This window comes from Homo sapiens, chromosome 20 (assembly GCF_000001405.40).
Source record: "Homo sapiens chromosome 20, GRCh38.p14 Primary Assembly".
Taxonomy (NCBI): Eukaryota; Metazoa; Chordata; class Mammalia; order Primates; family Hominidae; genus Homo; species Homo sapiens.
The window spans coordinates 37,505,405-37,531,086 of record NC_000020.11 but is presented as its reverse complement, the minus strand read 5'-3'; the positions used below and the strand labels follow the sequence as shown (position 1 = coordinate 37,531,086).

General features: G+C 49.9%; 2 protein-coding genes and 1 pseudogene across 10 annotated transcripts, besides 7 other annotated features; 1 reads left to right on the top strand and 2 right to left on the bottom strand.

The window, feature by feature from the left end:
- Positions 1–342: 342 nt before the first annotated feature.
- On the bottom strand, positions 343–1,084 carry PPIAP3 (peptidylprolyl isomerase A pseudogene 3; annotated as a pseudogene).
- Positions 2,690–3,407: an enhancer, noted in NCBI's record as "OCT4-H3K27ac hESC enhancer chr20:36156082-36156799 (GRCh37/hg19 assembly coordinates)". NCBI's record gives its function as "activates a minimal SCP1, AML or CMV promoter by ChIP-STARR-seq in naive H9 embryonic stem cells {active_cell/tissue: H9 hESC(naive)}" and the evidence as "EXISTENCE:reporter gene assay evidence [ECO:0000049][PMID:30033119]".
- Positions 2,919–3,228: an enhancer, noted in NCBI's record as "active region_17847". NCBI's record gives its function as "activates an Ori minimal core promoter by ATAC-STARR-seq in GM12878 lymphoblastoid cells {active_cell/tissue: GM12878}" and the evidence as "EXISTENCE:reporter gene assay evidence [ECO:0000049][PMID:35858748]".
- Positions 3,211–13,670, top strand: BLCAP (BLCAP apoptosis inducing factor). 7 transcript variants are annotated; one of them, NM_001167820.2, is made up of 3 exons: positions 3,211–3,294; positions 9,636–9,768; positions 11,737–13,670. In NM_001167820.2, the coding sequence occupies exon 3, from the start codon at positions 11,913–11,915 to the stop codon at positions 12,174–12,176; it is 264 nt and encodes an 87-aa protein (NP_001161292.1). In that variant the 5' UTR covers positions 3,211–3,294; positions 9,636–9,768; positions 11,737–11,912; the 3' UTR covers positions 12,177–13,670. The 7 variants fall into 7 exon arrangements, with proteins under 7 accessions (NP_001161292.1, NP_006689.1, NP_001161293.1 ...); NM_006698.4 differs by lacking the exon at positions 9,636–9,768; NM_001167821.2 differs by lacking the exons at positions 3,211–3,294; positions 9,636–9,768 and adding an exon at positions 3,355–3,456.
- Positions 3,319–3,368: an enhancer, noted in NCBI's record as "active region_17846". NCBI's record gives its function as "activates an Ori minimal core promoter by ATAC-STARR-seq in GM12878 lymphoblastoid cells {active_cell/tissue: GM12878}" and the evidence as "EXISTENCE:reporter gene assay evidence [ECO:0000049][PMID:35858748]".
- Positions 4,125–4,843: an enhancer, noted in NCBI's record as "OCT4-NANOG-H3K27ac hESC enhancer chr20:36154646-36155364 (GRCh37/hg19 assembly coordinates)". NCBI's record gives its function as "activates a minimal SCP1, AML or CMV promoter by ChIP-STARR-seq in primed H9 embryonic stem cells {active_cell/tissue: H9 hESC(primed)}" and the evidence as "EXISTENCE:reporter gene assay evidence [ECO:0000049][PMID:30033119]".
- Positions 7,397–9,837, bottom strand: NNAT (neuronatin). Of its 3 annotated transcripts, none has more exons than NM_005386.4 (3): positions 9,684–9,837; positions 8,649–8,729; positions 7,397–8,420 (listed from the first exon to the last, which is right to left on the bottom strand). In NM_005386.4, exons 1-3 carry the CDS (start codon positions 9,753–9,755, stop codon positions 8,328–8,330), a joined length of 246 nt encoding a protein of 81 aa, NP_005377.1. In that variant the 5' UTR covers positions 9,756–9,837; the 3' UTR covers positions 7,397–8,327. The 3 variants fall into 3 exon arrangements, with proteins under 3 accessions (NP_005377.1, NP_001309731.1, NP_859017.1); NM_001322802.2 differs by having other exon boundaries at positions 8,654–8,729; NM_181689.3 differs by lacking the exon at positions 8,649–8,729.
- Positions 10,765–11,628: an enhancer, noted in NCBI's record as "H3K4me1 hESC enhancer chr20:36147861-36148724 (GRCh37/hg19 assembly coordinates)". NCBI's record gives its function as "activates a minimal SCP1, AML or CMV promoter by ChIP-STARR-seq in naive H9 embryonic stem cells {active_cell/tissue: H9 hESC(naive)}" and the evidence as "EXISTENCE:reporter gene assay evidence [ECO:0000049][PMID:30033119]".
- Positions 11,629–12,492: an enhancer, noted in NCBI's record as "H3K4me1 hESC enhancer chr20:36146997-36147860 (GRCh37/hg19 assembly coordinates)". NCBI's record gives its function as "activates a minimal SCP1, AML or CMV promoter by ChIP-STARR-seq in naive H9 embryonic stem cells {active_cell/tissue: H9 hESC(naive)}" and the evidence as "EXISTENCE:reporter gene assay evidence [ECO:0000049][PMID:30033119]".
- Positions 23,428–23,517: an enhancer, noted in NCBI's record as "active region_17845". NCBI's record gives its function as "activates an Ori minimal core promoter by ATAC-STARR-seq in GM12878 lymphoblastoid cells {active_cell/tissue: GM12878}" and the evidence as "EXISTENCE:reporter gene assay evidence [ECO:0000049][PMID:35858748]".

The window sequence follows — 25,682 nt, the reverse complement described above, 5'->3', positions numbered from 1 at the left end:
TTACATGTAACAGTAGTTTGTTCTTTTATATGTAAAACACAGTATTCCATTGCATGAACATGCCACAATTTATCCATTCTCCAGTGATGGACATTGAACTATTTCCAATTTGAGCTATGAATAAGTCTGCTATGAACATTCTTGCACAAGTCTCCATGTAAACATAGGCACTCATTTCTCTCGGGTACATACCTAGGAGTGGAAATTCTAGATCACAGCATAGGTGTATGTTTAGATTTTGTAGATGCTGGTTTTCCAAAGTGGCTGTACCAATTTGCTCTGCCGTCAGCACTGCAAGAATTTGTTGCTCCACAGCCTCTCAACATTCAGCTCTCTTTTTCTTTTTTTGTTAGTTTTTATTTCATAATCATAAACTCTGCAATCCACCTGGGCATGGAAGGGAACAAGGAAAACATGAAACCCAAAGGGAACTGCAGCGAGAGCACAAAGATTCTAGGATACTGGGAGCAAATGGGGTGGAAGGGTGCTCTCCTGAGCTACAGAAGGAATGGTCTGGTGGTGAAGATAAAACACAAGTCAAACTTATTGGAGTTGTCTACAGTCAGCAATGGTGATCTTCTTGCTGGTCTTGCCATTCCTGGACCCAAAGCGCTCCATGGCCTCCACGATCTTCATGCCTTCTTTCTTCTTTCACCTTGCCAAAGACTACATGCTTGCCATCCAACCACTCAGTCTTGGCAGTGCAGATGACAAACTGGGAACCGTTTGTGTTGGGTCCAGCATTTACCACGGACAAGATGCCAGGACCTGTATGCTTTAGGATGAAGTTCTCATCATCAGATTTCTCCCCACAGATGGACTTGCCACCAGTGCCATTATGGCATGTGAAGTCACCACCCTGACATATAAATCCTGGAATAATTCTGTGAAAGCAGGAAACCTTTTAACCAAATCCTTTCTCTCCAGTGCTCACAGCACGAAAGTTTTCTGCTGTCTTTGGAATCTTGTCTGCAAACAGCTCGAAGGAGTAGGGGCCTAAGGGCGCGTCATCGACAGTGATGTCAAAGAACAAGGTGGGGCTGACCATGGCTGATAGTATGGGGATCCCAGCGGCATCTGCAAAGCCAGCTCTCTCTTTTTCTAAACAAGAGCTTCCACTACAAGACTCCTCTTGTCATTCAGTGTTGGATACTGGGTGTGGCTGCCATGGATGCATTGATCCTTTAGCCTGTAAGCAGCAGGATGGTGGGAGGCCACATTCAGGCCTGTTTTGAGTCTCAGCTGGAGGAGAAATGGACATCTCCTTGCTTTGGATGTGACCTCAGGAACTGGATAGCCATCTTGTGGCCATGAGCATAAACCAGCACAAGGACAGAAGATAAAATGAACCTCAGTCCTTGATGACACTGCCTAGCCACTGAGTGGCAGGCTACTTATTTTTTTAAGCCACTTGATGTAGTTGTGTGTTTAACTTGCAACATAAAAGATACAGTCCACCAACCTTCTTTATTCCCAAACCCCAACGGCTCCATTTCTGTTCTCAACAGCATCAGCCCCACTGAGCACTCCCTCCTTCCTGAAACCTCCTCTCTAGGACCCACACTCACTTGGTCCTCTTTCTACCCCACTGGCCACTGCTTCTTAGTCTCCTTTCCCGGATCCTCCTCTTCTTTTCTCTCCACCTTCTTTCACTTGCGTTCTCACCCAGCACCATGACCTTTGTATTGATGGCCCCCAAATATGTATCTCCTGCCCCAGCCTCCGTTCGCAGCTTCTGTGTCACATAAACCTGCCTACTCACCCTCTCTGCCTGCATGTTGCCCCGACATTTCAAACTTAACTTCTCAAAGCCGAACTTGATCTTCCCCCTCAGTCCGTTCCTCTTTCAGGCTTTATTGTCTTGGTCAAGGAATCTTTTACCCTTTCATTTACTCAAGGCTAAAACCTAGCGAGGAGTTATTGCCAATGCCTCCACATCCACCCAAGTCCAATCTTCCACCCTTCCCTTCACCTCCCCAAGCTACCACCCTGTCTGAGTCAGCATTGGCTTTTGTCTGGAAAGCTGCAACCACCTCCTAACTGGTCTGCCTACACCCACTCCTGAGTGCTTTCCAAGCCATGCGGCCTGGGTGGCCTTTCAGAAATCCTAATTTGCTATCCTCTTCCTGATGAAAATGGCTTCCCTGACTCTCAAGAGAAAAGCCAAATTCAGTATGTAGCTGACCTGTTTTCTTCTGTGCTCACCTCACCCCAACTCTGCCGCTTCCCAGCTCCAGATCTGGGACAAATGTTCTTTCTGCCTAGAACATTTCCCCTCTCACTCTTACCCTAATCGTCCTTTGTTTCTCAACCTAAATGCCATCTTCCCAAGGAGGTTCCACCCTTTCCCTACATTAGTACTCCATTAATTTCTCCTAACACTCTCTACTTCTTCTCACAGCACTTCCCATGATGTGTAATTATGTATTGATTAAAGTCACTAATATACAGTGATTATATGACTGTCTCCCCGCCTACCCGCCATTAGACTGGCAGTGCCTTGAGGTCAGGGACAGACCCAGGTTACCGACTCTACCTGCCCTTAGCACTGCGCTTGGGTACAGTAAGCGCCCAAGGAATATGCTTAATTAGCTAATAAATGACTACACGGACTCATTCAAGCCTCATAAAAGCCCTAAGGTGGGCATTTCAACAGAAGCCGGGTCGGGGTGGGCGAGGGGCTCGCTGGCCCAAGGTACGGGGCAAGTGGGGGAGCCGAGGCCTGACCCAAGGCAGTCCCAAGTTCTGAGCCCGGACCTTTCAGCTCCTGAGCCTTGGCTGCATGATGAAACGCTAGGGAGGGGGTGGACTTTGAGCCACGAGAAGGTTTTCCCGGAGTCCACGGACCATCCACGCGGGCAAGAACGAAGCGGGTTCACCAACATGAACACAACCCGGCCCGCCCAGCGCTCACGGAGTAAGGATCACAATCTGCTGCATATGCATGAGGGGACCCGGCCGCGCTTCGGGGCTGTCCACACTGCGCCTGATAAAAATTATTCGGGCTTGAAGATCTCGGGGCTCCCAGAGTTTTGTAAAAGTGCATACAAAGTCCTCAAAGGTGGTCTGTGGCTGATATTTACGGGAAATGGGGCGAGGATGAGCCCCCACTTCGGACCTTGTGATCAGGCGTTTGCGGTAGACAGCCCGATCCCAGGATGGGTCCTCGGCCGGCTCGACTAGAAGACTAAGGGGGCGTCTCCCCGGCTTCCTGCGGCGTCGGTGGCGAGCTGAGGTGGAGGCAGGCTGCGGCAGACGGCGACAGTGGCGGCGGCGCCATGGCAGGGCTTGCAGGTACCGTGGCGTCAACCTGCTTGGGGCGGGATGAGAGGCCCTCCATGCGGCCGCGCCGCCATATTGTCCCTTCTGGGTCACCTTAGGCGTCGCCGGGTCCCCGTCACTGGGGTTTTCCTTCCGCATACCCCGGGAAGGCAGGGCGCCCCTGTCCGGCTTCAGGTGATTGCCGTGATTGGACCTAGCCTGGGCCTTGGGGGGTCCCTTCCCAGCCCGGAGGTGGGTCATAGTACTCCTGGGTGCTGGCTCTGGCCTTGTCCAAGGTCAGCGCCCTTGCAGGATGAGACAGGCAGAGCCGGGGGCACGGGGCTGGGAGCGCGACCACCATCTCTGCAGCCCCGGGTTCCACGGCAGGGTGCCCAGCTTGTGAGAGGCCTGTCATTCTGTCCCCATCAGTTTAGTTGCGTTGCTTTAGTTGCTTTTTTGGGGGGGAGGTGGGGGGACGTGGGGGTGAGGGGAGAGAGGGTCTCCTGAGGCTCCGCTTCGGTGTCTGGGGTGATAGGCTGACGCTCTGCTAAGAGTCGCGGGCGCTTCTTACTCCCTCCAACTTTACATCAAGGGTGGACATCCCTTCCCTTTCCTTCTATAGACGTGGGGAGTGGCCCTCAAGGGCAGCTGAAGGAACGGAATGCCTGGCGCACTAATGGCCTGGAAAGGAAGCATGGGGGATGGGGGACAGTTGTTTTTTCCTTCCCCTTTCCAAATCTCCTTTAGTTTCCTTCCAGGCCTCCGTGTCCCATTTCATCGCCGAATGTTGGGAGACTGGGGTCTGTCCTCGGAAAGAAACAGCCTTTCTGTTTATAGGTTTGGATCGTCTATCCCTTTCAGGGAACTGGTGTGTTGGGGACGGCTTCTCTGCCCTGCCTGACATGGTCCAGTCATCCCGTCAGCCTTCTGGACGGCAACACCAAAGCTGGGACCAAAAAAAAGTTCCAGCTTAAGTGCTAATGCCAAGTGTTAGATCTTGTTTGCTTGTTTGTTTTAAATCAGAGACTAATTAATGTCAAGCAAATCTGTTAAAAGATTTGATCACGGGAAGCCTGGTCGGTTTCCAGTGACCAGGTCAATTCCATATCTGAAATTAGTCTTGTTAGAGTTGCTGCCAAAAACAGTTTAACCTTTAATCTGTAATATGTTGTTTCAAAGAGGAATCTGGGTTAGACTGTCTTTTTTTGTTGTTGTTCTCCTATCTTTGAAACACATGCATTCCATTTCAAGCCTGTCCCTGTGCGATATACCAAGAACCACGCGTTGCCTGCCTCTCTGACTTCCTGCTCTGGAAATGCTCAGGAATCTGGATCCTGCTGGGGCATGCATGGGCCCTGTGGGAGGGCAAGTCGGGGAGGGGAGGATAAACAGGATCACTCCCAGGGAAGATGGTGACAACGTGTCTCTGGGGCATATAGAGGAAGTCAGAGGTTACCGGGGGGAAAAGAGATTGTTGTTTGACTAGTGTTTTGTGTATGTGCATGAGTGCACACGTTTAAATCTCTGAGGGGGGGTGGGGGCGGTGGGGGGGGGAAGTTAACTGCAAATTCAGAATCTCCCTTTGGGGTGTTGGCTCCTGAGGAGATACACATTTCAAAATAGATATCTAGTAAATGGCTCACAGCAAACCTGCTCCCCGATCCAACAGTAATCCGTTGCCCAAGCTCAAGGAACTTGCCCCTGCCCTTCCCTGACAGCAGACATCCCTTCCTTCAGTGACAATTCAAATATTCCACAGATAAAGGTAACAGTGTCACATAGCACCCTGCACCCCTAAAAGTCATGGTACCTAAACACCTCTGGACTTAACTTCAGTTCGTTAGGCTAAGAAACTAACATCCTGGAGTATTAGTCTCAAGGGTCTCTCACCTGTTGCTGGAGTCCCACAGAGCTATTCCCAATTCCTTCCCAACCGATCTGCTCTGTCCTTGGCCTTGTGGGGGCAAAGTCTTCTGGGAGCAATGATGGTTTAGGCAAAGGGGACGTTCAGCACTGTGACTAAGGGCTGTGCAGTAAAACACTAGTCATTTTCAATTCTTCGCATTGCTCTCTATCAGAATAAAATGTTTAATGGTATAGTTTGTGGAAAAAATTTTATAAACAAGGTGTGTTTGGACCATCTAGGCATTGCATGGCATTGCACTGGATGGAAAGTGAATGCACTGTCTTCTCTGGTGGGTTAAGTTTGCTGCCAGAACATGAAGTTTTGTGGGTGGAGGATGCAAATGGGGAGTGGACATTGCACATTGAAGCCCACACGTGCAGGTGCAGGCCACCAGGGCAGCCCTTGCCTGGAAATCTGTCATCTCACCTTGCCACACTCACAGCCCTGCTGATGGACGGATGGAGGAAAAGGGCTTTGCCAAGATGATATGGAAAGCTCTGGGGCTACCAGGAGCCTCTTGTCCTCTAAGTGGGGGCACAAGAGGTGCTGTGTCCAGAGCAGCCAGCTCTTACCATGCTGCTTTGGCCTACCTCCCTGAAATCTGCTACCTTGTCACTTGGGCTGAGGTTAGAGCATCAAGAAGGGCAGTGGGGCTATGGGCATACCCCTCAAAAGCTCCGAAGGGAGGGTCAGCCTTCATGGAGAACACATGTTGGTATGTTCATGATTCTGTGGGTTTAGTGTGGAAAACCACAGAAACTCCCAGTTTTGAGGCCTGCCAAGATATGGGGTTCAGAAGGGAGGAGGTGTGGGCATTGCCTGCTGATGAGTCACACTGGGGCGAGAGGAGACCTGCCTCACCTTCAGGCTATGGTAGCAGCTATAGCCACCCAGCCTAAGAAAGATGAAGTCTCAGATTGCACATCCTCTTCAAGTCCTGATGAGTCCTGATTGCCACTGCTATGGCAGTTTCTAGCGTGTTAGGGTTCACTGGCATCTCAAAGGCCCTCTTCGAGAGGGAAACTGGAGATGAAGGGTACAAGGTGACATGTCCAGGTTCCCTAGGCTGATTGATGGCAAAGTCAAGACCAGAACCGGGATCTGCACCTCCCCACCCCTATAATTCTCTGATACCGAATGAAGTTTTAGATGCCTTTAGAGGTGCTGGTGATTGGGCTAAGAAACTTAAGGGCTTGCTTAGGGGAGGGAAACATGATCAGGCTTAAGGGGGCAAGGTACTTTGTGCTTCAGAAGTATTTGTGACAGCTGTGACTAAGGGATTCGAAGAAGTGGCAGGAAGAGAGATTTATGGCCCTCCAACTCCCTCCCTTGGTGTTGACCCAGCAACAGGTGTGTAGTGACAGGGACACATAAAGCCAGAGACAAGGCTGAACAGGCGGCAGGGCCATTTGGTGAGACAGTCAGCTGACCCCGTGTAGAAAGAGCCCTGACTCACTGGGGAGTGGGAGAGGAAGACAAGTCCGAGGCCGAGCACTGCCCACCCTGACGTGATGGCAGGGGAGAGCCCAGGGCCACGGACCTGGTAAGCATTCCTAAGAATACGGAGGCTGGTGCTGGGAAAAGCAGAAACCCAGTATTGGGGAGAGAGGTTTCTGGGGTGAGGTGGGGCCAGGAGACCCTGCAGAGTAGCAAGGCCAGGCAGATTGTCTTTGTAGTGGTCCTGGTGGATGTGGGGCCTGCAGCATTAAGCTGGGTGAAGAAGGCGCCACGCTGCACCTCTTATCCCATACTCATTGTCTAAGCCACTGTCCACCCTGCCCACTACTCATTTCTTTGGGGCTCCTGGATGGAGACCTGAAGTAAGGCTTTGTGTTCTGAAATCACCCCCTTGGTCCCTAGTACCTCTTTGGAGGGCTACTCCCACCTTTTTCCCCTCCTCTCATCTTTCCCAAAGTGATACTTGCTTTGGCCCCTTATCCTAAGACCACAAGTAAAGCACCTATCCCTTTGGGGAGGGGGAAGTGGTCCCTTATTCCAGGACCACAAGTGAAGATGTCAGCCTTTCTCTTTGGGGAGAGGGGGAGATGGTCCTTTATCACAGGACAGCATTGAGATGGGGTTGGGTGTGTGAGGGGCCCAGCTTATTGCAATTTTGATGGCCCTCCTTTTCCTCCCTCCCCCAAGCAGTGTGCCTGTTCCACAGTGGGCACATCAGCTGAGTCTTAGAAGTGTATGTTGATGCCGCTAAAGAAATCACAAGAGACAAAGTTTTGGTGCGCCTCTACTGCACCGCAGGGTCCTGGGACACTGTGCGAGACAGGGGAGGTACTTTTTTTATTTTTTGTAGAGGTGGTCCCTGTCCTCCAGGAGCTTACAATCTAGCTGGGGAGACACAACTAATGCACACTTAAACAATCAGTACAATTAGCGATTACCACAATATTGACCACAACTGCATGAGACCAGGGAAAAGCAAGATCAGTGAGGGGCAAGGGGGGTTCAGAGAAAGTGTTTTAGTAAAGGTGGGATTCATTTACTTTTACTGCTTGAATAGTTCCAAATCAAGTGACACATTATTTTGGAGTAGGGTGGGCTTGGGAGGCAGTGAGGAGGAAAGGGGAATCGAGAGAGCAAATGCAGCGAGGCTGGAATGCAAGTGCCCTGGGCAAGGGACAGCGAGAGGGCCCCACTGTATTTCTTAACCACCCTCCTTCCTCAACTGTGCCCTCCAGTCCCGCCACACAGGCACGCGGTTGGTGCTGCACCAAGATTCAGGGCGTCGGCTGGCGATGTCAGAATGTCCATTCTGCTGGCTGGTGCGGTGTTTTGATTTCCATGGTGGGGCCTGCTGGCATGGCCCTGGCTTCGGGGCTGGGATGGTGCTGTCCCGACTTTGTCCAGATCAGAATGCGGTGCCTATGCCCAGATCTCAGGGGTCTGCTCCCCCTATCCCCCCTCCTCTCTCGACCCTGCCCCTTAGTGGGACCGGTGCAAAGGGGTTGGGAAGGGATCTGGTATCTTCGTCATTGTCGGTACTGCTTCTCCGGGGGTCTACTGGCCCCTCACTGACCTTGCCAAGTGCTCCTCTGGCGAGGGAACACAGGGGACCCCACATTCCTGCGCGGCACTGGCTCCCGTGCTGGCCGAGATGCACAGGAGCACCTGATGATACGGCCGCCCAGGGCTGGGAGCTGGGGCCTCAGTTGGGGGCTCGCTGCCTGCGCTCCCCCAACACCTGCCGCCCGGTCCGCGACACCGTGTATGCCAGCTTCTGCAGGGAGTACCTGAACACCTGCGACGAGAAACCCAGGACCCACCCTTAGTGGAGAGCACCCACAGCATGTCTGTGGTGCTGCCGTGCCCACCCCCGCCCCACCCCCTGCCCCGCCCGCCCATCCAGCGTAGGCTGGAGAGGCGGGCGCGGGCGCAGCTTGTCCACGAGTCAGGGCAGCTGGAGCTTTTCCAACTGTGCTGAGAGCTGCATGGCGGCAAGCTGATTGGACCCACAACTTAGGTATACCTCACTTCTCGCAATGGGCTGTGTCCCTGGAGGATTTCGAAAAGCGAATCCTACCCAGTAAATGCAGCATTCCAGGAACACCTTGAAGGAAATATGCGATTCCTTTGGCAAAGGATTCCTTTAGCAGGGAATTCTTCCTGCAAAGGGAGCTTTTAGGGTAAATGATTTTATGGGCAAAGCGCTTTCTTCTGATTTATCTCTTTTTACACCAAGCGCTTTTGCCTCTTTTTTATTTTTTTTATTATTATTTTTTTTTTTGTAAAGCAATTGTCCTTTTTTGGAAGTGCTTTTTTTCCCCTTCTATTTTTCTCTCGAGGGGCTTTTTCCTCTAATTTTTTTCTTTAAAGCGTTTTTGCCCGATCCATTTTTTTCCGTTAGCTCCCTTGTCTAATTTTTTTCTGCAGTGCGTTTTTAATCTAATGCATTTTTTTCTGCCAAGTGCTTTTCTCCGATTTATTTTTCCTGCAATGCGCGTTTTTCTGTTTTCCTGTGAACTACTTTTTCTCTAATTCGTTGTAGGGTTTTTTTTTTTTGCGAAGTAATTTTTATTTTTTCTGAGAAGTGCCTTTTTCTAACTTATTTTTTGTTCCACCCCCGCAAGCGCTATATGTTTTTTTAAATAAAATTTCTCCGCAATGCGCAATTTTTTAAGGTGGAAAATTTTCACTCTGCGAGCTGTAAAGTCTTTCAACACAGTAGTGCCCCGCCTCCCTCCTGGGGTCGAGTCCGGGTGTAGCGGGTTTTTCTTACCGCGTAGGTCGCTAAATGCCTGGGTGATCGTCCGCAGCGGTCGCCCGCCGCGCCCCGAGTCTTTGTTCCCTGGCAGGCGCGGGCGCACTAGGGAGGGTCAGCGCGAGGAGGACGGCGCAGGGAATGGGCAGGGGGCGCGCGGTGCCGGCAGCGGCACTTGGGCAGGCAAGGATCGCGGCAATCGGAATAGGACGGGTCCGGGAAGCGGCAATCGCGACGCAGTCTTGCGGGTTCTAGGGGCGCGAGTTGGGAACCCTCTCCCACCCGAAACCCCGTCAGACTTACCTGCAGCAGCACGCGGAAGATGTACCAGCCGATGATGAGCAGTTCAGCCGAGGCCGCCGCCACTGCCGCCATGGTTCCAAGAATGGTAGGTGGGTGGTCGAGAAAGAGGGTTTGCCGAGATCCGCTGGTCTCGGAGTCCGCTGTTGGGCGCACTGCCGCAGCCGCGGTGGCCGCGCCTTAAGTACCCGCCCGCCACCTAAGTGCGCATGCGCGCCTTGGGGGGTGTTTATGAGGAGGGGTGGCTGGGGGCGCTCCTCATTCGCCAGGAGAGGAAAAAAATAATCCATCTGCTCTTTCCATACCGACCCCCGCCTCCTGAGTTCCATCTTAGCCCCCTTCCAGAAGATTCCGCCGTGCTTGCTTTTGGATTTTGCTTTAAAATGGAGGGGTACCACGACTCTGGGTAGAGTACAGGGCGAGAATGGGGGTGCAGGTCTCTTAGTGTGGCGCCCTTCTCCCCAGTCCCTGGCCTGCAAATTTGAGCTCAGTCTCCGGTGCCACTCCAAAGCCTACCTTGGGGATGGATGGAAAACCGAAATTAGGGAGGGGTCATCTGCCCCATAGAGCAAAAAACGTGGTGCCCCTTTCAGAAGCTTTGGCATAATAGGCCCGTGCTCGGCGCTCTTTTCCTGATACTGAATGAGTTTTAAGCCCAGGTCCTCTGCTTCATGAGGGTGCCTGAGCGCGTAACCCGTCTGATTCTTTACATCTCTCTTACGGTAGCGAGGAGATGAGAATCTGCGGTGGAGGTCGCTACTGTAGGGAGCTGAGCCAGAGCACTGCGCTTTGGGCGCAAAAGCAGTAGTCACCCGGTATCTGTAGGAGGGATACAGGAAGGATTGGCGCCCTTCGTATGCACGGAAGGAATGAGCTCTACGGAGAAGTGGTTGGAATATGCTTGGGGATAGTTTTCTGCTGGACAGGTCGTTTCGACCTCAGTCTTCCGCTCCCCTCCCCCAAGCCCTGGTAGGTCGGCCTTAGCCAGTGGGGTTCTTTGTACCCGTTGCGCTGTGCGGCTGGATCACCGAACGGGGTTACGCTACCGCTACCGGAGGGTTGTGGCTACCGCAGCCCCGTTTCCAAGTGAGGCGGGTCCCTTTTAGACCGCCAGTCTTGTGGGTCCCTCGCACAGCGCGGATTTTCGGGCGGGAAGACCGGAATGCGGTTTGTGAGTGTGGTCCCCGCGCACCGGTAGCCAGCCGAAAGCACCTCTTTCCAGCAAGCTGCCTGGCCCAGGGACCAACTGGCATTTGCCCCTATGTGGATAGAAAATTAATTTTCATTAAAAGCTCCCAGAGGTCAGGTTCTATACAGTGCCAGCAGCAGATGGAGGTGTAATGATCCAAACGAGTTCAGTTTGGACAAAGTAGCATAGTGACTTTTTTTCTACATTGACTTTCGGAGAAGTTGGCAGATTCTGGCAAAGTGACGCTGGGCTGTTTGAAAAAGGCAAGCTTAGCCTAGGCTGCCATCTTAAAATATTTCGAGGCTGTAGCTGCCTCAGGATCCTTTGCCTGTGGTCTGGTGGCCGGCAGTGCCCCGCTAACAGCTTTAACTCTGCACTTAGTGCCTGAGCACCTATGGCTGTGAGAGATGCTAGATACAGAACCCTGTCCTTACCACGTGGGGGCACAGCAGGGAGCCCTTGGTCGTCCTTTGGCAACCACTGGGCGGTATTGTGAGGTCTGGGCCCCTTGAGGACGGGCTGCAGCCCCAGGAGGCGATACATGATCTCTGCTGGGCAGGGCCCAGGCAAAGCCAGCCCACTGTGTGAAACCGTGCCAAAGAGCCCTCTCCCCGATCCCCCAGGAGAAGCCCCGGGGAGACATCCCAGGAAGCTTCCCGAATTAGTGACTTGGAGAGGAGTAGAACTTTCACGGGTGGGCAGGGAGGAAAGGGCATTTCACATTTGCTGTTGTTAACCATGATCCATTTTCCCAAATAAGTATACATTCTGTTCCTGTTTTTTTTTTTTTTTTCTTTTTTTTTTTTTTTTTTTGTCTGTCTGTCTGTTCTTTGTCTGTTTGTCTGTTGTGTTGACTTTTCTCTTCAGGATCCCTGCTGCCTTGGTGATCCCGGGCTGACAGCCAGAGAGCACAGCGGCTCAGCTCCTGGAGAGTGAGGGTTGAAGAAAGCGGAGGGCAGCCGCCTGCGCCCGCTGGCTCCCATTAGGTCGGTTCCTGCAGCGGTGCCCGGCAGCCTTGGTGAAGGCCCTGCCCGGCAGAGATCATGTATTGCCTCCAGTGGCTGCTGCCCGTCCTCCTCATCCCCAAGCCCCTCAACCCCGCCCTGTGGTTCAGCCACTCCATGTTCATGGGCTTCTACCTGCTCAGCTTCCTCCTGGAACGGAAGCCTTGCACAATTTGTGCCTTGGTTTTCCTGGCAGCCCTGTTCCTTATCTGCTATAGCTGCTGGGGAAACTGTTTCCTGTACCACTGCTCCGATTCCCCGCTTCCAGAATCGGCGCATGATCCCGGCGTTGTGGGCACCTAACGGCCTGCCCTGTTAGCTTTCCAAGGAAGCAGAAGACGGGAGGGGAGGCATTGACATAGGTCATAAAGCATTGGAGTTTCAAATCCCGCAGCCTCGCGGGTGTCACATTCCTGACGGCGCCTTTTTGGCCTGTGATGTTTTATCCTTACAATGTGAATAATGGCACTGACCGGTGCTTTTATTGTAAAGTCCTATAGTCGTGGGTGGTCTTGTGGTTGTGTGTGTTCTGTCCCCATCTAGGTCCTGGCTGGCCGCATGACCACCCCTCTCGCCTCATTACTGTGAGGAGTCTGGGTCCATCCTGGTCAGCTGCCCCAATGTGACCTGGGGCAGATAAAATGCCAGTCTCATTGTCACCTCTGTGACCCCTCCTTGTCAGGGTCTCCTTCCTTCCCAGAATGTTACTGACTCCTCAGTCCCTCTTCTGGTTTCCCTTTATTTCTCTTCTACCCTTTTCCTTTTTTGGGGAGTACCTGTCCAAGACAGGGCTCATTTTTGCACTTATCTCGAATTTGAAGAGATTGCTGACGCCCGAGAGCCTCGCTTTTTCATCCTTCTTTCCTTGTTCAGCAGGCTAGACAGAAACATGTCTTGACTGTTAGTTGTCCACAAATCTTCAGTATTTTCTCCACTTCATTTTTAAGAAAGGAAGCAACAGATAGATGTTGCTCTTTCACCTGGGTGTCTGGGCTCAAGCTTTCCCGCCCAGCCTCACTTCCTTTGCCCTTCCTCCTGCCTTTCTCAACTGTCCCAAGGAGGGGGCCTCATTGTGTCTCCCGTGCATGCTCTGCAGCATTGAAGTATGGTGTGTTCACGTAGTTCTAGCAGTCCCCAGCTGAGTGAGTGGGAGAGTACCTGTGTGTTTCGTAACGGCCTTGATCCCCTTGATAGATGTTTGGATATTTTTTGGTGTGCCCTGTGTGTGTGTGTGTACAAATACATGTGTATATTCCTTTTAAAGAAGCTTTATCGAACGTGGTCTGATTTTGAGGTTTAGCAATAGCTAGCTATATATGGTAGGTGCCGCTACAGTTTTTATTTAGCATGGGGATTGCAGAGTGACCAGCACACTGGACTCCGAGGTGGTTCAGACAAGACAGAGGGGAGCAGTGGCCATCATCCTCCCGCCAGGAGCTTCTTCGTTCCTGCGCATATAGACTGTACATTATGAAGAATACCCAGGAAGACTTTGTGACTGTCACTTGCTGCTTTTTCTGCGCTTCAGTAACAAGTGTTGGCAAACGAGACTTTCTCCTGGCCCCTGCCTGCTGGAGATCAGCATGCCTGTCCTTTCAGTCTGATCCATCCATCTCTCTCTTGCCTGAGGGGAAAGAGAGATGGGCCAGGCAGAGAACAGAACTGGAGGCAGTCCATCTAGGGAATGGGACTGTGAGGCCATACTTGTGAAACGTCTGGACTGCTATTCTAGAGCTTTTATTTGGTGTGTTCGTTGCACAGCTGTTTGAAATGTTTAATAAAGCTTTATAAACTTTACTTTGTGGTTTTATGTGGCTGCAGTCCATTTGGGTCGTGGTGTTGGATTTCGGAGTTGGTGGGGGGCAGGGGGAAGCATGGAGGGGCTGAGTCTTTGGCGCCAGAGTACCTTAGCCTGAAAATTTGATCTGCTTTCTGGAGAGCAGATGGTGGGGATGGGGGAGGGGGAGCAGGGGGCAGGACAGGCGGTGAACAGGAGGGAGTCTGAAAGTTTTCAGAGATGAGACATTTGCGTTTCTCAGCTCCCATGGCTTCTTGCCTGAAATTGTTTCCCTCCATAGGAGATTTGAGTAACCGATCCCTTGACAAACAACTTAAGACAGCTGGAGCTCTAATCATCAAGGATTTTTATGGTGCTGCTTTTGAAGTAAAAATAGTGAAACCCCTTATGGCATTTCAAGTGGAAAAATAAATAAGACTGGCTGTCCAACCAGCCGGATGTAAGGTGATGGCTGGAAGTGCCGAGAGTGGTGTGGTTCCATGTTGTAGGTATGCACGTGCTCCCATGGCCATGACCTTTGAGACAGTGTAGGCTAGTTTGTCAGGTCCTGTGCTGAGTATTCACCTCTGAATCTCCTTCTTCTAGAAAGCATGGTAGGAATACTGCCTGTCCAAGGCACAGGGCTGTCGTGAGGTTTTATTGAGTCACAGTCGTGAAGGGCTTTGGTAATTTCATAGAAGATCACCTGTTCTACCTAGGCTTTAAATTTGTTGCTATAAAATTGAGTATGGTTTTCTCCTGTTCACTTAAGTCTCCCCATTGTCACTTTATTCCTTTTTTCATTCAAAACTTGCCAAAGATTTGTCTATTTTAGAGGTATTTTCAAAGAACCAAACTTTTATCGATCATATCTGCTGGGTAATTTTCTTACCTGATTCTTTTATGCTTTTATCTCTGAATTCTTCTTTTCTGTGTTTCTGGATAGATTTCGTGGTTCTGCAAAGTCTTGACAAGCTGAGGAGTCATACCTGGAAAGGATGGTTTGTTCAACAAACATTGAGACCCTGTACTAGGCTTGCTGGGGATTTCAGGGGCAAGACTCAGACCTGACTCTTCAGGAGCTCATGATTGTAGCCTAGTGGGAAGACTTAACAAAATAGACAATTGCAAATTCCAAAAACAAAACAAACAAAAAAAAGGCTTTTGTGTCCCTACTCTCCTGTGGCGACACCTGGATGATAAATGAAGCCAAGATTATTGCTTATTTTGCTCTCCCTCGGAAAGCAGCTTTCTGTTTTAGGTCAAGCCCGCTTAAGAGTCACAAACAGGCCTCCCTCTGAAAGATTTGTGGCCCTTTCCAGCAGGGAGCCTGCAGCCCACCCCTTCCCAAAGTGACTGCCAAATCAGCATTCTGTCACCCCACAGTGCTTCCTACCTTGCCAGGCAACCACCCCCTCTTCCTGAACTGCCTTTTAGGAAAATGAAAAGTAGATACCTTTTCTGGAAAAGAGTAGGGGCAGCAGGCCTTAGAAAAACACACAATTACATTGGTCACTGTGGCTCAGTGTGAAACGGTTGCCCACATGGTACCTAGTGACCACAAGACACCATAAGGCCTAGGTCTGGGCTTCTTTAGGAACTGGTTCTTACCCTGCTGTGGGCCCCAGTTTCCAGAGAGGTAAAATGTGGTCTTTGGAGCAGACAGTTTTTCTAGTCCTAATATCCTGGGAGTTCTTTCTCCCAAGATCTAGGGTCTTCCTGGACCCATTTGAGGATGTTAGCTGGGCTCTGAGTAGGTGGCAGTGCACTTTCAGGATGGCATGGGCTTTATGCTTTAGTCAGTGTACCATGTGAGCCCAGGTATTTCCTCTGTCAGGAAGCTTCCCTGGATTTCTTCTCCCTGGGGATCTACTTGACTGGAGCGTTTCACTCAGCCTTCTGTTGAGTGCTACTGCTAGTGTTACGCAGACTTCCCCTTCTGTAGCGACTGAGTTCATGGGCTCCTCTTGTCTCCCAAGGGGGCCTGCATTGTCAGTCATTTGGCTGGTATTTGGCAGAATCCCATGCAGGAATAGGCCTTGAGACTACAGGGTGGACAGTTCCTGCCATTAGGGAGCCCTCCAGGCTAATGGGAAAGGGCACAACATTGAGCAGATAATGCCAGCGATACACAACCGTGGACTGTGTCAGCTGCTAGAAGAGAAGGTCTAAGAGGGGACCCAATGTAGGCCTGGAAGGATTGACTTTCAGGTGGAGACCTGAAGAACAAATATAAAGGTTTGAGCAGTGAAGTAATGAATGAGATGTTATTATTATTTTACCATCTAATCAAGCATCTCTGCTTACAGATAAAGAGACTGGGATGAAAGTAAAATGAAGGACCACCACTATCTGGCTGCCCTAGAATCAGAACCCAAAAAGGCTTTTTGGGATAAAGAGGTCAGTCTATCTAAAGCTAGCAAATTGTTGGGAGATACTAAGGAAATCTAAAGCTGAAATGCTATTGGCAGGCCCCTAAACTCAGCCCTAAGAACTCTTCATTTCCATCCAACTGGGAACCATCACAAACGAGGATCTGATGGGAGTTGGGGAGTAACCCAGTCAGAACAGCCTTTGAGATGGGATTCTGTCGGCAAGAAACAGGACAGCATTTGAGTGGTGACAGTAGCAGGGCCATGGAGAAGGCTACTGGCTTCTCTAGATGACTGGGAATGGGGAGAAGTAGACATAAGGAGTGAGTGTGGGTGAGGCAGGGACACAGGAGAAAAGGTAGGCTGGGGAGAAGGAAGCAGTGAAAGATGATAGAAGGAAAGCCAACTCCTATTGAATAGCTGCAGGAAAGGAGGCCAGAGAAGGGCTGTCACCTGTGTCCATTTGGTGGGCAGAGCCAGAACCCTGTCTTCTACCATCCAATGCAAAGTTCACTCCCCAACGCACCAAAATGTGTGAAAGGGCCACTGTTCTGAAAAGAGGAATGACTGAAGAAGTGCTCTCCCTGATGGAAGATGGTCCTGCCTAGGGAGCTTGGCCTGTCTCAGCCCAGCAACCCTCCCTCCCCAGTATCTTCCTGAAAGTCCCAGGAAGAACACAGTTTGATCTGCCAGGCTTCAAGGGGAGAATGAAGTATGTTGAGAAAAACTTCTATTGTTAGGCAGGCTTGAGGTGAAGAAGAGAACCTGCCTAAGCAGCAACTGAAGGCTTCAGACAGAAGCCTTGGGTCTCCCTTTGGGATCCTGGAAAAGGGACTCAGAGGCTGGGCAGAGATAGACTTTAAGGACTGAAGAACCTTGATGCAAGGCTTGAGAGAGTCCCAGCGCTTACGCCCTGCCTTTGTGACTATACCTCACCTGTCTCATAGAGAACACACCACCACTACAGCATCGGCCCCAAGGCACAGTCTCCGTAAATGTTATTTCCTCTGTTTTATGGCTCCCTGCCACTGGCCTTTACTAAGCTCCAGCCTGTTAGGGATGTGATCTGATCCCCCAGCTCTCCCTCTCATTCATTCATTTGAGGAGCATTTGCCAGGCTCTTTTCCAAGCTCTGAGAAGCTGGTGCAGAATGACTGTGCCCTCCTTGAGGAGCTCAGATCAGCAGGAGGGAGGGCAGAGTCATTCTTGTGGGTAGATAATACCATGTTATTAGGGCTTTAGTGGAGTTAGGTAGAGATTATTTGGGAGACCATATCTCAGTACCTCTGTGTGAAGTCCATTAATTATTTTTTACCTTCTCTGCAAAGGCAGTATCCTGAAAAGGAAAACACCAAGGTGTAGCTTTCTTTCTGGGAGACCAAAGTCCTCAGTTTGAGCCCCTACTTAGCCACCATTTTACCCAGCAACCCTCCATGGATTTCCCTCTCTTGGAGAGTAACCCCTGTCTGTCCAGCCTCCTCCCAACGAGGAACCAGAGGAAGCATATGTTTGAGAGTGCTTTGTCAAATATCCCAAAGGGTCAGATATGAGTCTTCTTCAAAGACTAATCTTCTGGGTGGTTCTGGCCTCTCAGTACTTTTCCTGAGCAGCTTGTGTGGAGCCTGTACTTGGACAGCTCAACACCTTTTCCAAAGCCAAACCCTCTGCCAGCCTCCTGCCCCACACTGGTAGTGGTGACCCTCCAAGGAGGGGGCAGGCAGGCAGGTGCTAAGGCCCTGGGACTGATTCCCATCCATTTTCCATGTGGCTTTGCTCTCCTTACTGTTCTCTAGGCCTCTGTTTCCCCATTTATAAGTCAAGGAGGGGGCTGGACCAAGATATCTTTAACATTTCCAAAGCTGTCTTCTGTGAAACATCAGTGACATTTATCTCCTTGTTATTTTAGTCTTAGAGACAGTGGTTGAAAGAAAGTATATTAAGACAATCAAGTGTTTAATCAAAGGATCTTTTGCATTAAAAAATAAACTTGAAGTCTCTTGGGTGCAGAACTGTCAAGGATCTTAGCTTAGAGCCAAAGAAGACATGGAAGTGTCTATGAGGCAGGAAAGACAGACAAAGCCCTTCAGTAATTCCATATTGTTTATGGGCCCAATCCCTTGGCTTGGTCATCAAGGCCCTGCACAACCCTTGAAGATAAGGGGCTTAGTCTTTGTTCCTTGACCAAGCACAGAATTTACCTGACCAGGCCTGGCATAGTACCTGCTGGTTGGCTGACCTGGTGGCTAGATGAATAGGTGGTTCAATCAATTGCTAAGAGTCCCTAAGTAATTGGGTGGCCCAGTCTTTCCTAGAAGGAAAGGAACTCTGTTTGCCTCCCAAATCTCTTGGCAACTCTGAAGTGACAGAGATTATTTTCCAGCCTCCAGACTAGTATTGTGAACAAAGATATGCGAGAAGAACCTTATAAAAGACTGCCCAGCCTGGCATCCTCGCTGTGGCAGCAGCTCACATGTGGTTTAGGAGTAGCCCCACCAGGTGGTAGACACCCTGTAAGGTCTGGATGTAGGTGGACTCCTGGGTCACTTGTAAGCCAAGGGGATTCCCTCTTCTTCCCTCCCTCTACCTTTCCCACCCCCTAACCCTGCATATGGGACTTCCCCAGCTTTCCCGCTTTTATGAATTCCTCCCCATAGGCTGGCAGGCAGGTGAGCTTGCAGGAGTGCAGATCGTGAACTACTGTTTCACAGAGAGTTGACCGAAGCTCTGCTGAGAGGTTTCTTGACTTGCCCAAGAGTTCACAGCTAGGCCAGGCTGGCCCTTGATTCCTGAACTCTGATCACATCTTAGATGGTCCTCTGCCTTGCTCATTTTCCCATTTCCATCTCCTCTTCCCCTCCTAGATCATGAGTGTCCTCTTTAGACAGTCTGAGAACTCCCTGCAGCCGGGCCCCACTGCCACACACACCCATATGAGCCCATCACCGGGATTTAAGTCCTTTCATCCTATTCCCTCAGACCATTCCAGGGAAAAACTGTCCTCAGTCCAACCCCCAGACTCCAGCTACAATACTGTGGGGGTTAGACTACTATTCACAGATGGGGTGGGCCATTTGGGGGGCTGCTTTTTGGTGGTTGGCTTTTGGTTTTGTTTGTTTTTACTTACTGGCCAAATAGGATCCAGTTCTTCTTTCCACCCTCAGAGCCATTTTTATGAACGCCATATGGTTCCATTTTGTACTGACAGGAACTGGGGACCACAGGCACATAGCACACACCACAGCTACTGTGACTAATAGCCCTGGCAGCTGTGCCCTCCTAACAGTCTGGGTGTGCAGTATGAGTGATGTCCAAAACCAGCAAGATTGGATTGGGCCTCCCGATCCCTGGTCGTGATGACACCACTGCACCTCTAGTCCTGTCTCTCCGGTCCCTTGATCTTTCCTATATCCATCTCCTTCTTTTAATTCAGATCATCTCTTGCTGAACAGTTGCACCAGATGTCTCTCTGCTTTCAATCTTGTCTCTTTCAACCCATCAACCAAATGGCCACCATTGGCCATCTTTACCAGCTTAGGTCATGTTCTGTGGCTCTTGGCTTAACTTCGTCCTTCCCTATTGCCTAGAGGATGGCATTCTCTCTGTTAATGGAGCAGAGCATTTCACAGCCTGGTTCCCTACCCCTAGGTGTTCCTGCTCTGCTTCTGCAGGTGCCCAGCCAGAGGAGCCCACCTGTCCTCCCGGAAGAGATGGCCCCTTTCACTTGAGATTCCAGGAGATTGCCCAGGGAGAAGGTGTGGAGGGAGGGGTTTTGAGAAGGAATATGAAGCCTCCAGTGGTGAGCAGTACCAGCAAGACAACCAAGAAGAGGCAGTTGGGTTGGTCAGTTAGGAGGTCTTGTCATCCATCTTGGGGTTGGCAGAGCAATAGAGACAGACATCACATCACCATGGGAAGAGAAGAGAATAAGAGGAAGAAGTGGAGATGAGAGGAACAGGTCACCTCTTCCAACTATGAAGGGAAAGAGGTGGATGAGTGGAAGTGACCCGTTTGGACTGGTCTTTTTTTATGTAGCTAATATTTGGCCTGTGCTTTTCTGGATCAGGCCCTGATGAGCATTTTGTCAACAATATCTCCCTGAAACCTTAAGAGAACATCCTAGGGTTGACGTGGTTTTGCCCACTATACAGAAGAGCTTCAAAAGATGAAGGCACTTTCCCAAGATGGGGGGCAGAGCTGGGATTTGTGTCCCATTCTGTTGCCCTTCAGAGCCTCACTTTCACCACTGTCCTTGTCTTCCCTGTAGTCATGAGGGGAAGAAGGAGGTGGAGGGCTGCCTGCAGTTAGGGAGCTGGGGCAAAGGCACCAGGGAGGCTCCCGGTGCTCAGATAGGACTGGAAGTCTGGGACACATCATTTTTCAGAGGGGGAAGAGGCCAGGGAAGAGAGAGGCTATTTTTAATAGCCAAATAGATATGAGCCCATTAAAAACCAGGAGGAAAGGAATAAAATGTTTAATAAAATCTTTAAGTATCTGAGTGGAGGACCTCTCTAAGCTGAAAAGCAAGGAAATGACACCAAGAAGAGAAAGGCCAACAGCGAACAGGGATAAGTGATGGCCTGTGTCCCAAGTGGCCTGGAGTGGACGGCACTAGATGGACAGATAGGGGCTTAGCCTTGGATAGCAAGCATGCAACGACCCACCCACCCAAACCTGGGAGGCTTAGCACTCGGCAGGTGACCTCATCTGTTCTCAAGCCATCACTGGGAGGTACTCAATAAATATTTGCTGGGGTGAAATAACTGAAATGGGAAATTAGATCAAAGAGGAAAAATACCAGCATTAAGCTATTGATGATACAAGAAGTGTCCAGGTGCCGTGGCTCACGCCTATAATCCCAGCACTTTGGGAGGCCAAGGCGGGTGGATCACCTGAGGCCAGGAGTTCGAGACTAGCCTGGCCAACATGGCAAAACCCCATCTCTACTAAAAATACAAAAAATTAGCTGGGCATGGTGGCATGCACCTGTAACCCCAGCTACTCGGGTGACTGAGGCATACGAATCGCTTAAACCCGGGAGGCGGAGCTGCAGTGAGCCGAGATCATGCTGCTGCACTCCAGCCTCAGTGGCAGAGCGAGACCCTGTCTCAAAAAAAAAAAAAAAAAAAAAAGATGATAGAGGAAGGCCAGGAACCACCCTTGGCTAGTTAAGTTGGGCTGCCTGGAGTATTGAGAATTGACACCTACATGGTGGCCAGTACTAGGATGACCAACCTCTCCTATGGGCACAGTTCTGTACAGTTTACAAGGGTTTTTTTTTTCTTTCTTTTTTTTTTTTCGGTGGGGGCGGGCCTCACATACTCATGGTATTACCCATTTAGGGTCTTGAGGTTTGAGGACCCTATGTAGACTTACCCTCAGTCTGTTGGGTGAGTTTGCTTCTATCATCTTGGATTCTTGATTATCCCTATTTTTTAGAGGAGAGAACAAACTTCAGTTCTTCCAGAAAGAACTGGCAAAAATAGGCCTGTACTCCTCTGACTTCACTGTCTTCTTTACGCACCATGCCACTTTCCTGAACAATATACAAGTTTACCATGTAATTATTTTAGAACCCAGGGTCCACATATTTTTGTGGTCAAGATTCGACGGGCAAAGTCCTCACACTGAGTTTTCCCAGCAAGGATGCTTTCCACTCACTTGCTGGATGGCTGTGGGTCACCTCCCCTCACTGGGCCTTGGTTTCCCCGTCTGTGAAATGAGGTAGTTGGATTAGATAATTCCACAGTTCCCTTCCAGCTCTAGCATTACCCTCAGATACCCTGGTGCCTAGAGCAGTAATTGAACAAGGAGGATGGGGACCCCAGGTTCTGGGTCAAGAACTCATCTTGCAGCATGGAGGAATCGTGATGATGGCTGCAGCCCCCAGAAGGTGAACTTGGCAGGAGCTGGCTGAGATGATTTTTCTGCTGATGGTGAAATGTGCTGGCAGAGTCTATACAGGTAGGTTGGTGTAGGTGAGGAGTGGGGTGGGCATTTTGTCTCTTGTGACCCCGAATAATGTTTCCTTGCAGAATTGGAAGCCTCTAGGACAGGTGGATGCCAGCTAGATTTAGCCATTCACATTGGCAAAGTAGGTGATCCATCTTTCCACACACTCTTCTGTCAGGCTTCCAGAAAGGCTTTCTGCTCCCATCCCTTAAACACCTCCCTGTGTTTCACTGTCACTGTGCCTGGAATCATACCTTCCTGTAGCCTTCCAGTTCCTGTTCAGGTGGTATGTGCTCTGAGAAGGCTGGGACCATAAATGCTGTAATCAGCCGGGAATAGCTAAGCTCAGAGCCAGAGCCAAGAAGGAAAGGGTTACCCAAAATTGAGGCATGAACTGTTGATTCACTAAAAAGAGAAAAAGTCCATTCCAACTTCACCTCAGAGCACACACCCAAATTCAAAAATTATTTTCAAAGGTCAAAAGGAAAAATGAGCCCATTAAAAACCAGAGGGAAAAGGAATATTTAACAAGTGACTGAATGAGGGAGCCCATTTAAGCTAAAAAGCAGCAAAATGACATCAAGAAGGCAAAGGCCAACCAATTTGACTACATTAAAACTAAATATTTTCAAAGTCAAGTAATATCACAAACAACCAAAAAGCAGAGTGGTTGCAGATTCTTAATGTATAAAAGAACACACCCAAAACTTTAATAGTAAAAGCAAAACAGGTAAGTGTGTGTAAGTCACCTGAATTGAGTTTACAGGAAAAGAAATGGAATTGACTGAAAAACTTTTTGAAAAAACATTCAACTTCACTAATAACCAAAGATCAACAATAAAAACAACAAGGAAATACAAATTTTCCCTAACAAATTAGGGGAAGAAATTTAAGAATACCCAATGTTCATGAGGATAGTGGAATAGGCACTGTTTCACACTACTGGGGGGAATGTGAATTGGTGTACACTTCTTGGAAAGTCGGAAGAAGAGAGAAGTTTTCAGAGAGAGTAAGTGGCCTGTAACTTTACTCAACATTTATTGAGTATCTACTTTGCGTCAGGCATGATGATAGGTTTTTAAATATTGGCCAGGCACAGTGGCTAATGCTTGTAATCTCAGCAGTTTAGGAGGCCAAGGCAGGAGGATTGCTTGAGCTTAGAAGTTCAAGACCAGCCTAAGCAACATAGCATGATCCTGTATCTATAAAAGTACACACACACACACACACACACACACACACACACACACACACCTGAAGATAAATATGATCCTTGCCCTTGGGAGTTCAAAGAGTTAAGAAAAACACACAGACAGACACTAAAATGATACATAGGAAGGAGAAGGCCAGAGAGGTGCCTGGGACATGGAAGCATGGGCAGCTGGGGTTGGTGGTGCAGGTGTGAAATTTCATGGGAATATCCAAGGAGGTTCCTAGAAGAGGTGACTGGATGGGTAGGAGTTACTCAAGTAGAAGGCAGAGGCAGAGGTGAGAGCCATCATGGATGAACTCAGACAGCTGGGGATTGCTGAAGCATGAAATGAGAGGCTAGGGGTGGAGAAAGCAGAACCAGATCACATAGTGTTACTATGTCTAATTTAAGACTTGGGTCTTCAATTGCAGCAGGGAGCCCCTGAAGCATTTTGTGCAAGCAGGTGCCATGGTAGGATTTCTCTTTTGAGGTGATTACTCTGGTTGCTTGGAGAAATTTGGAGGCGTGTGGGCCAGAGAGGAGATGATTGCCTTGGTCCAGGTGGGGTCCAGGAGGGATAAGGGTAGGGGCCAAGAGGATGGAAGGAAGTGGTCGGATCCAGGAGGTGAAATTGGGAGAATCTGCTGACTGGTTGGTTGCTGGTGTTAAAGAAAGACAGTAAAGGATACCTTTCCTGTTTTCTGTCGTGAGTGACTGGGTGAATGGAAGAACACCTAGGAGAAAGAGCAGGTTTGGGGGCTAAGAGAAAGTTATTGAGCTCAATTTTGGACAGGTTGAGTCAGAGGTGGGCATCCAGGAGGAGGTGGCCTGCAAGGAGCTAGATAGAGGGTCTAGATCCAGCAGGAGATTTAAACAAGAGATTTGGTTTGAGACTATGGTCATTGTAGCCATGGGCTTTGGTGAGCTGGCTCTAGCAGAACGTGTCAGCTGAGAAAAGAGGGGTCCAGGAACAAGAAAGAGCCTTGCCCCCATTTAAGGGGTGGGCAGAGAGAGGGGAGCCCACAAAGGTGAAAAAGAAGTCAGAGAGACATAGAAAAAGCACCTGTAGCCTATGTTGGCATGGAAACCTGGGGATGTGGAGCACTTCCAAAAGAGAGCCAACAGACAAAAGAGAAAGGCCAGCTAGACAGGGACCGAGAGCCCACTGGATGTAGTAATTAGGGGCCACTAGACCCTCATCAAGAACAGTTTCCTGTGAGAGATGGGGCAGAGGAAAATGAAAGGGCAAGGAAAGCAGGCAGCATGGCCACCTCTCAGGGAAAGCTGCTAGAGTAACAGTTTGGGCCAGGGGACAATTTCTGAGCTGGCTCTGGACTGAGATGACCTAAGGATAGATGTGATAGAAGCAGTCCAGAAGGCTATCACCTAGAGTCCTCCCACCTGTCTGAGTCAGAGGCAGGAGCAAAGGGCGAGGGTGGGCAAGGAAGGAAAATGTGCATAGCTGGCATCAAGTAGGAAAGTGTATGTACCTGTACCGGTTGGGAGCTCACCAAAGAAGGGTGAGCATCTCAACAGGGATAGATGAAGAACCAGAGATGCACTCAAAGAAGGACAAGGCCAGAAACGAGTTCGTGACATTTTAGGAATGGGTACAGGAAGAGAGTCCTGCTGAGGAGACTGAGAAGGAGGGGCCAGAGGAGAAGACCAAAAACATGGGGTTCCTAGAAGCCAGAGGACAGTTTCCAAAAGGACAGAGTGGCCACTGGTGGGCCACATGCACAGAGGTCAGTGGAGGCTCAGGCATCTCCTAGACCTGGCCTTTGGGGACTTTTGTCACAGCAACTTTGGGGCACGGGGCAGAAGCTCCTCTTGGTGTGGGGGGAATGAACTGGGTCTGGCTGAGAAAGGAGGGAGGGGGAGTTGGAGCAGGCAGTGGGTCCAGGAAGGAGCTAATTCTTCCAGGAGACATGGGAGGGAGGAAGCAGTACAAGCCCAGTTGGAAGGGCAGGGCGGGGCAGTGAGAGGGGCCCTGGAGCTCTGGGATTAAGTGTAGAGGTGAAGGGATTAGCAGTGTTGGTGAAAAGGGACAAAAGTAAATTATGTACATTTTAGCAAGTAACCTGATCTCCATGTTCTTTGGGAGGCCTTTTCTCTGCCCTCTGGGTACTGACTCCAGCTCTAATTAGCACGGGTTTGTCTGCCTCGTGGCTAGGGCCATGTCTTTCTCATTTTCTTGTACCTTTCAGCACCTAGCAACAGGCAGCCAGCTAGGTAGGGGCAGAATAATTATTTTCTGCTTGAAATCCAGTGTCTGAAATAGAGATTCAGAAATTTTTCTTTGTATCAAAAAGACTTTGTGACAATATCCAGGGAGCAATGAAATAGGTAAGGTCCAGGTCACAGGCTTGAATGGGACATTCAGGGTCTCAGTAGCAGTTCTATTTGTTGGTATTGCCTAGACATCAAAGAATTCTATTTCTTCGCTATTTGGACAGAAGTCAAAGTCCAGAGAGAGGCTTGGTTTAGCTGGCTGAGCTTGGGCCTTGTGCCATCCCCGA